General features: G+C 52.6%; 1 protein-coding gene, 1 long non-coding RNA gene and 1 other non-coding gene across 40 annotated transcripts in view; 2 read left to right on the forward strand and 1 right to left on the reverse strand.

Moving 5' to 3' along the window:
- CSF2RA (colony stimulating factor 2 receptor subunit alpha) overlaps positions 1-13,857 on the forward strand; it is a 56,405-nt gene that overhangs the window by 17,257 nt on the left and 25,291 nt on the right. For 35 of the 38 annotated variants that reach the window (NR_027760.3, NM_001379163.1, NM_001379159.1 and 32 more), the window contains 5 exons: positions 2,449-2,572; positions 2,689-2,818; positions 4,267-4,439; positions 8,258-8,391; positions 9,357-9,386. Coding sequence is in view for 37 of the 38 variants with exons in the window: in NM_001379163.1 (NP_001366092.1) it covers positions 2,449-2,572; positions 2,689-2,818; positions 4,267-4,439; positions 8,258-8,391; positions 9,357-9,386 (591 nt within the window). In the remaining variant the exon portion in view is untranslated. Of the gene's footprint in view, positions 1-2,448; positions 2,573-2,688; positions 2,819-4,266; positions 4,440-8,257; positions 8,392-9,356; positions 9,387-12,932; positions 12,996-13,857 lie in introns of all 38 variants that reach the window. The other 3 variants (NM_001379166.1, NM_001379160.1, NM_172249.4) reach the window with 3 other exon arrangements.
- LOC124905238 (uncharacterized) lies at positions 7,476-7,928 on the reverse strand. Its single transcript, XR_007068370.1, has 3 exons — positions 7,859-7,928; positions 7,773-7,815; positions 7,476-7,512 (listed from the first exon to the last, which is right to left on the reverse strand). It is a non-coding gene; the product is annotated as an uncharacterized LOC124905238 (long non-coding RNA).
- Positions 7,848-7,922, forward strand: MIR3690 (microRNA 3690). Its single transcript, NR_037461.1, has one exon. It is a non-coding gene; the product is annotated as a microRNA 3690 (primary transcript).

A 13,857-nucleotide genomic window follows, 5' to 3' on the forward strand; every position in this document is an offset into this window, starting at 1 on the left:
AAGACCAGCCTGACCAACATGGTGAAACCCCGTCTCTACTACAAATACAAAATTAGCCGGGCGTGCTGGTGCATGCCTGTAGTCCCAGCTACTCAGGAGGCTGAGGGCAGAAGAATTACTCGAACCCGGGAGGTGGAAGTTGCAGTGAGTCGAGCTCGTGCCATTGCACTCCAGCCTGGGTGACAGAGCGAGACTCTGTCTCATAAAATGCAATAAGGCCGGGTGTGGTGGCTCACGCTTGTCATCCCAGCACTCTGGGAGGCCGAGGCAGGTGGATCACCTGAGGTCAGGAGTTCAAGACCAGGCTGACCAACATGGTGAAACCCCATCTCTACTAAAAATACAAAAATTAGTCGGGCATGGTGGCAGGCATCTGTAATCCCAGCTACTCGGGAGGCTGAGGCAGGAGAATTACTGAAACTCGGGAGGCGGAGGTTGCGGTGAGCCGAGATGGTGCCATTGCACTCCAGCCTGGGCAACAAGAGCAAAACTCTGTCTCCAAAAAAAAAAAAAAATAATAAATTCAATTAAATAAAAGCGAGAGGGCCACAGACACAAACAACACAAGTGTGGTATTTGGAGAAATGTCACAGCCATAATCTCACGGGAACCGGGAAAGTGCTGTTAGCTCATGTCCACAATGTGTACCAGAGCCTGATTCCCTGAGGCAGAGCCTATGTTACCGTATTTTACCCCAAGAGAAGAGAAATCCTGGCAAATGCAGTTGGATGTGCCCCTGGGTCTGTGGTGGAAGCAGGACGGAGAAAAGTAAAGTGTCAGTCACGTTGTCAGTGTGTCACCGTCCTGGTTCCCCAAGGGATTAAGGTCAGGGTTTTTGGAACACAGGAGACAGAGACAGAAGAGCGGGGAGAGGGGAGGGAAGGAGGGAGAAACACAGAGAAAGGATAGAAGGAGGAGGGAGAGGAAGAGAGAAATATGGATGATCGATAGATAGGTGATAGATGATTTATTGACTGATAGGTGATAATAGATGATTGGAAGATTGATAATCAATTCTATAGGTAGATGCTACACGGAGGGATGGGTGGTCTTGCTATGTTACCCCAGATGACATACTTTTTTTTTTTTTTTTTTTTTTTGAGATGGAGTTTCCCTCTTGTTGCCCAGGCTGGAGTACACTGGTGTGATCTTGGCTCACTGCAACCTCCACCTCCTGGGTTCAAGCGATTCTCCTATCTCAGCCTCCTGAGTAGCTGGGATTACAGGTGCGTGCCACCACGCCTGGCTAATTTTTGTATTTTTAGTAGAGACGGGGTTTCACCATGTTGGCCAGGCTGGTCTCCAACTCCTGACCTCGTGATCCACCCTCCTTGGCCTCCCAAAGTGCTGGCATTACAGGTGTGAGCCACCGTGTCCGACCTTTATTTTTTGGGATGGAGTCTCGCTCTGTCGCCCAGGCTGGAGTGCACTGGCGTGATCTCAGCTCCCTGCAACCTGTGCCTCCTGGGTTCAAGAGATTCTCCTGCCTCAGCCTCCTGAGTAGCTGGGATTACAGGTGCCCACCACCACACCTGGCTAATTTTTGTATTTTTAGTAGAGACGGGGTTTCACCATGTTGGCCAGGCTGATCTTGAACTCCTGACCTCAAGTGATCCACCCGCCTCGGCCTCCCAGAGTGCTGGCATTACAGGTGTGAGCCACTATGTCCGACCCTTTTTTTGGGGGGATGGAGTCTCTGTCTGTCACCCAGGCTGGAGTGCACTGGCGTGATCTCAGCTCACTGCAACCTGTGCCTCCTGGGTTCAAGAGAGTCTCCTGCCTCAGCCTCCCGAGTAGCAGGGATTACAGGTGCCTGCCACCACACCTGGCTAATTTTTGTATTTTTAGTAGAGACGGGGTTTCACCATGTTGGCCAGGCTGGTCTTGAACTCCTGACCTCAAGTGATCCACCCGCCTTGGCCTCCCAGAGTGCTGGGATTACAGGTGTGAGCCACGGCACCTGGCCTCTAGTCTGGTACTTTCAGCACTGCTAGAGTATAAGATTGAGTTTTCACCTGCAAGCTGGTATTCAGCGTATCCACTCAGAGCCCTCGGAGGAAGCTTAGGGGGATGATTTCACAAAGGGAGGCAGGTGCGTGTCGCCAAATCCAGGTAAAAACCAATACCATGGCCGGGCATGGTGGCTCACGCCTGTAATCCCAGCACTTTGGGAGGCCGAGGCGGGTGGATCACCTGAGGTCAGGAGTTTGAGACCAGCCTGGCCAACATGGTGAAACCCTGTCTCTACTACAAATACACAAATTAGCAGGGTGTGGTGGCGGGTGTCTGTAATCCGAGCTACTCGGGAGGCTGAGGCGGGAGAATTGCTTGAACCTGGAAGGCGGAGGTTGTAGTGAGCCGAGATCACGCCACTGCACTCCAGCCTGGGAGACTGTAGGAGACAGAAGGTTGTTTCCTAATCGGCTCTGTCTGGTTGCAATTCTTCAGCTCAGTAACAACGAATGTTCGTGCACATTTCGTGAAATTTGTCTGCATGAAGGAGTCACATTTGAGGTTCACGTGAATACTAGTCAAAGAGGATTTCAACAGAAACTGCTTTATCCAAATTCAGGTAAGCAAGACAGCTCAGGGATCCGTTTACAGCACTGGCCCCACCACCCCGCCAGCATCAAAGTACATCCCGTTGAACTTCGGAGTGAAAATTATTTTGTTTCTACCTCTTCCCAGGAAGGGAGGGTACCGCTGCTCAGAATTTCTCCTGTTTCATCTACAATGCGGATTTAATGAACTGTACCTGGGCGAGGGGTCCGACGGCCCCCCGTGACGTCCAGTATTTTTTGTACATACGAAACTCAAAGTAAGTGTTCACCTCATGTGAAGAATTATGAGGAATGCAGGGATGGGAGAAAAAATCATGCTGGTTTTCTTTTTTTCCTTTTTCTTTTTTTAAGACATGGTCTTGCTCTGTTGCCCAGGCTGCAATGCAATGGTGCCACCTCGGCTCACTGCAACCTCGACCTCCTGGGTTCAAGCAATTTTCCTGCCTCAGCTTCCCAGGTAGCTGGGATTACAGGCGCCCGCCACCACACCAGGCCACATCTATGTATTTAGAGACAGAGTCTTGCTCTGTCGCCCAGGCTGGAGTGTAGTGATGTGATCTCAGCTCCCTGCAACCTGCGCCTCCCTCCAGGGTTCAAGTGATTCTCCTGCCTCAGCCTCCCAAGTAGCTGGGACTACAGGTGCACTCCACCACACCTGTCTAATTTTTGTATTTTTAGTAGAGACAGGGTTTCACCATGCTGGCCAGGCTGGTCTCCAACTCCTGACCTCAAGTGATCTGCCTGCCTCAACCTCCCCAAAGTGCTGGGATTACAGGCGTGAGCCACTGCACCTGGCCTGTTTTTTTGGTTGTTGTTTTGTTTTGTGTTTTTTGTTTTGTTTTGTGTTTCTTTTTGTTTTGCCTTGTGTTTTTGTGTTCTTGTTTTGTTTTGTGTTTCTGTGTTTTTCTTTTGTTTTTGTGTTTTTTTGGTTTCACGTTTTTGTGGTGTTTTGTGTTTTTGTGTTTTTGTTTTTTGTGTTTGTTTTTGTTTTGTTTTGTGTTTTGTTTTGTGTTTGTTTTTGTTTTGTTTTGTGGTTTTTGTTTTGTGTTGTGTTTGTTTTTGTTTTGTGTTTTTTTGTTTGTGTTTTGGTGTTTTTGTTTTGTGGTTTTCTTTTGTGTTTGTTTTTGTTTTGTGTTTTTGTGTTTTTGTTTCATTTTGTTTTGTTTTGTGTTTTTGTGTTTTGTTTTGTTTTGTGTTTGTTTTTGTTTTGTTTTGTGTTTTTGTGTTTTTGTTTTGTGTTTTGTGTTTTTGTGTTTTGTTTTGTTTTGTGTTTTTGTGTTTTGTTTTTGTGTTTTGTTTTGTTTTGTGTTTTTGTGTTTTGTTTTGTGTTTGTTTTTGTTTTGTTTTGTGTTTTTGTGTTTTTGTTTTGTGTTTTGTGTTTTGTTTTGTGTTTTTGTGTTTTGTTTTGTTTTGTGTTTTTGTTTTGTTTTGTGTTTTTGATTTGTGTTTTTGTGTTTTGTTTTGTGTTTGTTTTTGTTTTGTGTTTTGTGTTTTTATGTTTTGTTTTGTGTTTGTTTTCGTTTTGTTTTGTGTTTTTGTTTTGTGTTTTGTGTTTTTGTGGGTTTTTTTTGTTTTGTGTTTTTGTTTTGTGTTTTTGTGTTTTGTGTTTTTGTGTTTTGTTTTGTGTTTGTTTTTGTTTTGTTTTGTGTTTTTGTGTTTTGTTTTGTTTTCCTGATTGCTCTCTGAGCACTTTCTAATCTTTCAGGAGAAGGAGGGAGATCCGGTGTCCTTATTACATACAAGACTCAGGAACCCATGTGGGATGTCACCTGGATAACCTGTCAGGATTAACGTCTCGCAATTACTTTCTGGTTAACGGAACCAGCCGAGAAATTGGCATCCAATTCTTTGATTCACTTTTGGACACAAAGAAAATAGGTGAGAATAACACATATGATTTTCCTATTGTTTATAGGTGAAATGGAATTTGCCTTAAAATCTGTGTAACTGAGGCCACGTGCGGTGTCTCACACCTGTAATCTCAGCACTTTGGGAGGCCGAGGCGGGCCGATCACCTGAGATCGGGTGTTCAAAACCAGCCTGACCAACATGGGGAAACCCCATCTCTACTAAAAATACAAAAATTAGCCGGGCATGGTGGCGCGTGCCTGTAATCCCAGCTACTCGGAAGGCTGAGGAGAATCACTCAAACCTAGGAGGCGGACGTTGCAATGAGGTGAGATTGTGCCACTGCACTCCAGCTTGAGCGACAGAGCAAGACTCTGTCTCAAAAACAAACAAACAAAAATCTGTGTAACTTTGGTGCTGTAACAAATTAGAACTGAGCTGATTTAACTTTCCTTTTTTTGAGATAGAGTCTCGCTCTGTCACCCAGGCTGGAGTGCAGTGGTGCAATCTCAGCTCACTGCAACCTCTGCCTCCCAGGTTCAAGCGATTCTTCTGTCTTAGTCTCCTTAGTAGCTTGGATTACAGGTGCACACCACCACGCTCGGCTAATTTTTGTATTTTTAGTAGAGGCAGTGTTTCACCATCTTGGCCGGGCTAGTCTCGAACTCCTGACCTCAGATGATCCACCTGCCTCAGCCTCCCAAAGTGCTGGGATTACAGGCGTCAGCCACTGCACCTGACCTCCCTCTTTACCTCCTTCCTTCTTTCCTTCCTCCCTGCCTTTCTGCCTTTCTTCTTTTTTCTTCCTTCCTTCCTTCCTTCCCTCCCTCCCTCCTTTCCTTCCTTCCTTCCTCCTTCCCTCCCTTCTTCCTTCCCTCCCTCCCTCTCTCCCTCCCTTCTTCATTCCTTCCTTCTTCCTCTCCTTCCTTCTCCTTCACTCATTTCCTCCTTCCTTCCTCTTTTTCTTCATTTCTTCCTCACCAGCACCTCTTCGTGTCCCAGTGCCCTGCTCCTGGCTGGCCTCTTGGAGCCAGTCCCATATGCCCACACGCTCTCCTCTTCCCAAGCCCACCGCATCCCACCCGTGGACTCCTTCATCCCGTTGGACGTTCCCAGCCTCTTCAGGCTTAGGACTCTCACAGAAGTGTGACTCCTGCCCACCAAGCCCATCCCCACCTCCCACCCTGGAACCCCTGCCCCAGTGGGTATCTCTCCTGTACATGGTAGCTGCCCCACCTCCACTTGGACCCAGTGTAGACAGGAGGAGACCCTGTACCACCTCCACCTGGACCCAGTGTAGACAAAGAGGTGTCCCTACTCCACGTCCACCTGGATCCAGTGTAGACAGGAGGAGACTGCACCACCTCCACCTGGACCCAGTGTAGTCAAAGAGATGTCCCTACTCCACGTCCACCTGGACCCAGTGTAGACAGGAGGAGACCCTGTACCACCTCCACTTTACCCAGTGTAGACAGAAGGAGACCCTGCACCACCTCCACCTGGACCCAGTGTAGACAAAGAGGTGTCCCTACTCCACATTTACCTGGACACAGTGTAGACAGGAGGAGACTGCACCACCTCCACTTGGACCCAGTGTAGACAGGAGACCCTGCACCACCTCCACCTGGACCCAGTGTAGACAAAGAGGTGTCCCTACTCCACGTCCACCTGGACCCAGTGTAGACAGGAGGAGACTGCACCACCTCCACCTGGACCCAGTGTAGACAAAGAGGTGTCCCTACTCCACATTTACGTGGACACAGTGTAGACAGGAGGAGACCCTGCCCCACCTCTACCTGGACCCAGTGTGAAGGCGACCAGCCCTTCCACACATGTGGGTATTTCTCGTCAGGTGGGACGAGAGACTGAGAAAAGAAATAAGACACAGAGACAAAGTATAGAGAAAGAACAGTGAGCCCAGGGGACCGGCGCTCAGCATACGGAGGACCTGCACCGGTCTCTGAGTTCTCTCAGTATTTATTGCTTACTATTTTCACTATCTTGGCAAGGGGAATGTGGCAGGAGGACAGGGTGATAGTGGGGAGAAGGTCAGCAGGAAGACATATGAGCAAAGGAATCTGTGTCACAAATAAGTTCAAGGGAAGCTACTATGCCTGGATGCACACGCAGGCCAGATTTATGCTTCTCTCCACACAAACATCAGTGTAGCAAAGAGTCACAGAGCAGTATTGCCACCAGCATATCTCGCCTCCAGCCACAGGGCGGTTTTCTCCTGTCTCAGAATAGAACGAATGTACGATCGGGTTTTACACGGAGACATTCCATTCCCAGGGGCAGGCAGGAGACGGAGGGCTTCCTCTTATCTCAACCGCGAGAGGACTTCCTCCTCGGCACAGACCCTTTATGGATGTCGGGCTGGGGGACGGTCAGGTCTTTTTCCCTTCCCACGAGGCCATATCTCAGACTGTCTCAGTGGGGGGAACCCTCAGACAATACCCGGGCTCTCTCGGGCAGAGGTCCCTGCGGCTTTCCGCAGTGCATGGTGTCCCTGGTTAATAGAGAATGGAGAATGGCGATGACTTTTACCAAGCATGCTGCCTGCAAACCTATTGTTAACAAGACACAGCACATGTTTCTGTGAGCACAGTGTTGGGGCTACAGTTACAGCTTAACAGCATCTCAAGGCAAAACAGTGGTTCAACATACAGATCACAATGGAGTTTCTTACCTTCCTTTCTACATAGACACAGTAACAGTCTGATCTTTCTTTTTGTTTGTTTGTTTGTTTTTCTGAGACAGAGTCTCACTCTGTCGCCCACCCAGGCTGGAGGGCAGTGGCGGGATCTCGGCTCACTGCAACCTCCGCCTCCCGGGTTCACGCCATTCTCCTGCCTCAGCCTCCCGAGTAGCTGGGACTACAGGCACCCGCCACCACGCCCGGCTAATTTTTTTGGATTTTTAGTAGAGACGGGGTTTCACCGTGTTAGCCAGGATGGTCTCGACCTCCTGACCTCGTGATCCTCCCGCCTCGGCCTCCCAAAGTGCTGGGATTACAGGCGTGAGCCACCGCGCCCAGCCCCCTGATCTCTCTTTCTTTTCCCTACACAGAGTAGACAAAGAGGTGTCCCTACTCCACATTTACCTGGACCCAGTGTAGACAGGAGGAGACCCTGCCCCACCTCCACCTGGACCCAGCGTAGACAAAGAGGTGTTTCTACTCCATATCTACCTGGACCCAGTGTAGATGGGAGGAGACCCTGCCCCATCTCCACCTGGACCCAGTGTAGACAAAGAGGTGTCCCTAGTCCACATCCACCTGGACCGAGTGTAGACAGGAGGAGACCCTGCCCCACCTCCACCTGGACCCAGTGTAGACAGGAGAAGACTCTGCACCACCTCCACCTGGACCCAGTGTAGACAGGAGGAGACCCTGCCCCACCTCCACCTGGACCCAGTGTAGACAGGAGAAGACTCTGCCCCATCTCCACCTGGACCCAGCGTAGACAAAGAGGTGTTTCTACTCCATATCTACCTGGACCCAGTGTAGATGGGAGGAGACCCTGCCCCACCTCCACCTGGACCCAGTGTAGACAGGAGAAGACTGCACCACCTCCACCTGGACCGAGTGTAGACAGGAGGAGACCCTGCCCCACCTCTACCTGGACCCAGTGTAGACAGGAGGAGACCCTGCCCCATCTCCACCTGGACCCAGTGTAGTCAAAGAGGTGTCCCTACTCCACCTCCACCTGGACCCAGTGTAGACAGGACCTACTCCACCTCCACCTGGACCCAGTGTAGACAGGAGGAGACTCTGCACCACCTCCACCTGGACCCAGTGTAGACAGGACCTCTCGGGTTCAGGGGTGTGTCCTGCGCCCTCGTTACAGAACGATTCAACCCTCCCAGCAATGTCACCGTACGTTGCAACACGACGCACTGCCTCGTACGGTGGAAACAGCCCAGGACCTATCAGAAGCTGTCGTACCTGGACTTTCAGTACCAGCTGGACGTCCACAGAAAGGTCGGTGAGAGCTCCCCGGGGCTGGGCACCAGGAGGGAGGCGTACGGGACACGCCCGCACAGGAGCCTGGGAATCCCGGGGAAGTGGCCTGGGGGAAGGATGCGTGGGTGGTGAGCGGTGACTCTGGGGTGAACGCACTTCGGGTAGCGGAGGAAGAGGTGAAGGGTCTGTGGCCTGTGGAGCCACCTTGAAAGAGGTTGCAGGGAGGGTGGACAAGGATGATCCTGCAACCATGGAACCAGGAAGTGGACCGGGAGGTGTGGGGGACGATGCCACAAGCAAGGAGAGCCTCTGCTCCACCTCCAGCTGGACGCAGTGTAGACAGAAGGAGACCCTGCCCCATGTCTACCTGGACCCAGTGTAGATAGGAGGACACCCGACCCCACCTCCACCTACACCCAGTGTAGACAGGAGGAGACCCTGCTCCACCTCCATGGAGACCCAGTGTAGACAGGAGGAGTTCTTGTCCCACAACTACCTGGACCCAGTGTAGACAGGGAGAGAGACTGCCTCACGTCCACCTCGATCCAGTGTAGACAAGAGGAGATCTTGTCTCACAACCTCCTGGACCCAGTGTAGACAAGAAGAGACCCTGCCCCATGTCCACCTCGAGCCAGTGTAGACAAGAGGAGATCTTGTCCCACAACCACCTGGACCCAGTGTAGACAAGAAGGAGAGCCTGCTCCATGTCTACCTGGACGACAGGAGAACACCCTGCCCCAAGGCCAGTGGGACCTTTCTGGATGGGTTACAGGAAGATATCTGGCCAGGAAGACTTCTGTGTTTGCAGCTCCTCATCCTACCTGTCTTGTAGATTCGGGGTTTGTGGAGGGAGACCTGCCTGCCACTCCGCAGGGACTCCTTCCCATTCGGTGCCCACACCAGGGGAGACACTGTGTGAACCATCTACAGTGTTTTAGAAATGGAAACAGTGAGCCTTGTGTTGTGTTTTGTTTTGTTTCTAGAATACCCAGCCTGGCACGGAAAACCTACTGGTAAGTGAAACCACAGACCCTACTGACAACCCTCAGCGTAACCCTACGGTCCCCTACTCACCACACCTAGTGTAACTCTACAGTCCCCTACTCATGACCCCTACAGTCCCCTACCGACGACCTCCAGCGTAACCCTACGGTCCCCTACTCACCACACCTAGTGTAACTCTACAGTCCCCTACTCATGACCCCTACAGTCCCCTACTGACGACCTCCAGCGTAACCCTACAGTCCCCTACTCACCACACCTAGTGTAAGGAGGAGGAGACCCTGCCCCACCTCCACAGAGACCCAGTATAGACAGGAGGAGCTCTTGTCCCACAACCACCTGGACCCCGTGTAGACAGGAAGAGACCCTGCCCCACGTCCACCTAGCTTAATCCTACAGTCCCCTACTCACCACACCTAATGTAACTCTACAGTCCCCTACTCATGACCCCTACAGTCCCCTACCGATGACCTCCAGCGTAACCCTACAGTCCCCTACTCACCACATCTAGTGTAACTCTACAGTCCCCTACTCACGACCCCCGGAGTAATCCTACAGTCTCCTACTCACGACGCCTACAGTTCCCTATTCATGACCCCTAGCGTAACCATACAGTCCCCTACCCATGAGCCCTGGCATAACCCTACAATCCCCTACTCACCACACCTAGCATAAACCTACAGTCCCCTACCCATGACCCCTGGAGTAACCCTACAGTCCCCTAGTCACTACACCTAGTGTAACTAACCATACAGTTCCCTATCCATGACCTCTGGCGGAACCCTACACTCCCCTACTCACAACCCCTAGTGTAACCCTACAGTCTCCTACCCATGACCCCTGGCGGAACTGTACAGTCCCCTACTCACGACCCCTACACTCTCCTACCCATGACCCCTGGCGGAACCCTACAGTCCCCTACTCACGACCCGTACAGTCTCCTACCCATGACCCCTGGCAGAACCCTACAGTCCCCTACTCACGACCCCTACACTCTCCTACCCATGACCCCTGGCAGAACCGTACAGTCCCCTACTCACGACCCCTACAGTCTCCTACCCATGACCCCTGGCGGAACTGTACAGTCCCCTACTCACGACCCCTACAGTCTCCTACCCATGACCCCTGGCGGAACTGTACAGTCCCCTACTCACGACCCCTACACTCTCCTACCCATGACCCCTGGCGGAACCCTACAGTCCCCTACTCACGACCCCTACAGTCTCCTACCCATGACCCCTGGAGGAACCCTACAGTCCCCTACTCACGACCCCTACAGTCTCCTACCCATGACCCCTGGCGGAACTGTACAGTCCCCTACTCACGACCCCTACAGTCTCCTACCCATGACCCCTGGCGGAACCCTACAGTCCCCTACTCACGACCCGTACAGTCTCCTACCCATGACCCCTGGCAGAACCCTACAGTCCCCTACTCACGACCCCTACACTCTCCTACCCATGACCCCTGGCGGAACCGTACAGTCCCCTACTCACGACCCCTACAGTCTCCTACCCATGACCCCTGGCGGAACCGTACAGTCCCCTACTCACGACCCCTACACTCTCCTACCCAAGACCCCTGGCGGAACCCTACAGTCCCCTACTCACGACCCCTACACTTTCCTACCCATGACCCCTGGCGGAACCCTACAGTCCCCTACTCACGACCCCTACACTCTCCTACCCATGACCCCTGGCGGAACCCTACAGTCCCCTACTCACGACCCCTACAGTCTCCTACACATGACCCCTGGCGGAACCCTACAGTCCCCTACTCACGACCCCTACAGTCTCCTACCCATGACCCCTGGAGGAACCCTACAGTCCCCTACTCACGACCCCTACAGTCTCCTACCCATGACCCCTGGCGGAACTGTACAGTCCCCTACTCACGACCCCTACAGTCTCCTACCCATGACCCCTGGCGGAACCCTACAGTCCCCTACTCACGACCCGTACAGTCTCCTACCCATGACCCCTGGCAGAACCCTACAGTCCCCTACTCACGACCCCTACACTCTCCTACCCATAACCCCTGGCGGAACCGTACAGTCCCCTACTCACGACCCCTACAGTCTCCTACCCATGACCCCTGGCGGAACCCTACAGTCCCCTACTCACGACCCCTACAGTCTCCTACCCATGACCCCTGGAGGAACCCTACAGTCCCCTACTCACGACCCCTACAGTCTCCTACTCATGACCCCTGGAGTAACCCTACAGTCCCCTACTCACGACCCCTACAGTCTCCTACTCATGACCCCTGGAGTAACCCTACAGTCCCCTATTCAGGAGCCGTAGTGTGACCCTACAATCCCCTACTCACAACCCCCGGTGGAACCCTACAGTCCCCTACCCATGACCCCTGGTGGAACCCTACAGTCCCCTACTCACGACCCCTACACTCTCCTACCCATGACCCCTGGCGGAACCCTACAGTCCCCTACTCACGACCCCTACAGTCTCCTACCCATGACCCCTGGCAGAACCCTACAGTCCCCTACTCACGACCCCTACACTCTCCTACCCATGACCCCTGGCAGAACCCTACAGTCCCCTACTCACGACCCCTACAGTCTCCTACTCATGACCCCTGGAGTAACCCTACAGTCCCCTATTCAGGAGCCGTAGTGTGACCCTACAATCCCCTACTCACAACCCCCGGTGGAACCCTACAGTCCCCTACCCATGACCTCTGGTGGAACCCTACAGTCCCCTACTCACGACCCCTACACTCTCCTACCCATGACCCCTGGTGGAACCCTACAGTCCCCTACTCACGACCCCTACACTCTCCTACCCATGACCTCTGGTGGAACCCTACAGTCCCCTACTCACGACCCCTACACTCTCCTACCCATGACCCCTGGCGGAACCCTACAGTCCCCTACTCACGACCCCTACAGTCTCCTACCCATGACCCCTGGCAGAACCCTACAGTCCCCTACTCACGACCCCTACACTCTCCTACCCATGACCCCTGGCAGAACCCTACAGTCCCCTACTCACGACCCCTACAGTCTCCTACTCATGACCCCTGGAGTAACCCTACAGTCCCCTATTCAGGAGCCGTAGTGTGACCCTACAATCCCCTACTCACAACCCCCGGTGGAACCCTACAGTCCCCTACCCATGACCTCTGGTGGAACCCTACAGTCCCCTACTCACGACCCCTACACTCTCCTACCCATGACCCCTGGTGGAACCCTACAGTCCCCTACTCACGACCCCTACACTCTCCTACCCATGACCTCTGGTGGAACCCTACAGTCCCCTACTCACGACCCCTAGTGTAACCCCACATGACCCCCAGTGTAACCCTATAGTCCCCTACCCACGACCTATGTCTGCCTAGACCCAGTGTGATCAGGAGGAGACCCCACCTCACCTCCCCCTAGACCCAGTGTAGACAAGAAGGAGAGCCTGCCCCACGTCTACCTGGATCCAGTGTAGACAGGAGAATACTCTGCCCGACATACAGTTGAACCACTCACAACCCTAGCGTCACCCTACAGTCTCCACGAACCCTACAGTCTTGGTTTATGGGACTCTTAGTGCCAGTGTGGCCCAGGGGTGGACACGGTGGATCCTGAACCAGAGGATGCAGATCTCACACGGGTGAGGGCCCCCTCATAGTTCTCACTGGGCAGGGTCTGCTCTTGGCCTCAACCTTCGTGTCCCAATGGTTGGAATATTTATGCTCAGCCTGTTCTACTGATTTTCCCATTTTATTCCTCTTTCCTCTACGTGGGTTAAGAATATATTCTAGTGACTGTCTAAGGAGATTATGTCTCCCTCTAAAATGCTTTTAGAGTGAGTACTGTTGCCGGGTATTTACCAAGTCTCGCGGCCACTCTGACCCTCGGTATCCTCCTCTGTCCGATGAGTATGCTAGACTTGGGGATCTTAATATCCCTTGCTAAACTATCCGTCTGAAGGTCTGTTAATATCAGTTGTTGATCCTGAATCATTTATTTATGTATGTATTTATTTTTGAGACGGAGTCTCGCTCTGTCCCCCAGGCTGGAGTGCAGTGGTGCGATCTCGGCTCACTGCAAGCTCCACCTCCCAGCGATTGTCCTGCCTCAGCCTCCCTACAGAGATTCTACAGTCTCAGCCTGTAGCTGGGACTACAGGCACCCACCCCCACACCTGGCCAACAATTTCTGTTTCAGAAAATAAAATTTTAGCCAGGCACGGTGGCTCACGCCTGTCATCCCAGCACCTTGGGAGGCTGAGGTGGGCGGATCACTTGAGGTCAGCAGTTCAAGACCAGCCTGGGCAACATGGAGAAACCCCATCTCTACTAAAAATACAAAACGTACCCATGCGTGGTGGCGGGCGCCTGTAATCCCAGCTACGTGGGAGGCTGAGGCAGGAGAATGGCGTGAACCCGGGAAGCGGAGGTTGCGGTGAGCCCAGATCATGCCATTGCACTCCAGCCTGGGCGACAGAGCGAGAGTGTCTCAAATAAAATAAA

This window comes from Homo sapiens, chromosome X (genome assembly GCF_000001405.40).
Source record: "Homo sapiens chromosome X, GRCh38.p14 Primary Assembly".
Taxonomy (NCBI): Eukaryota; Metazoa; Chordata; class Mammalia; order Primates; family Hominidae; genus Homo; species Homo sapiens.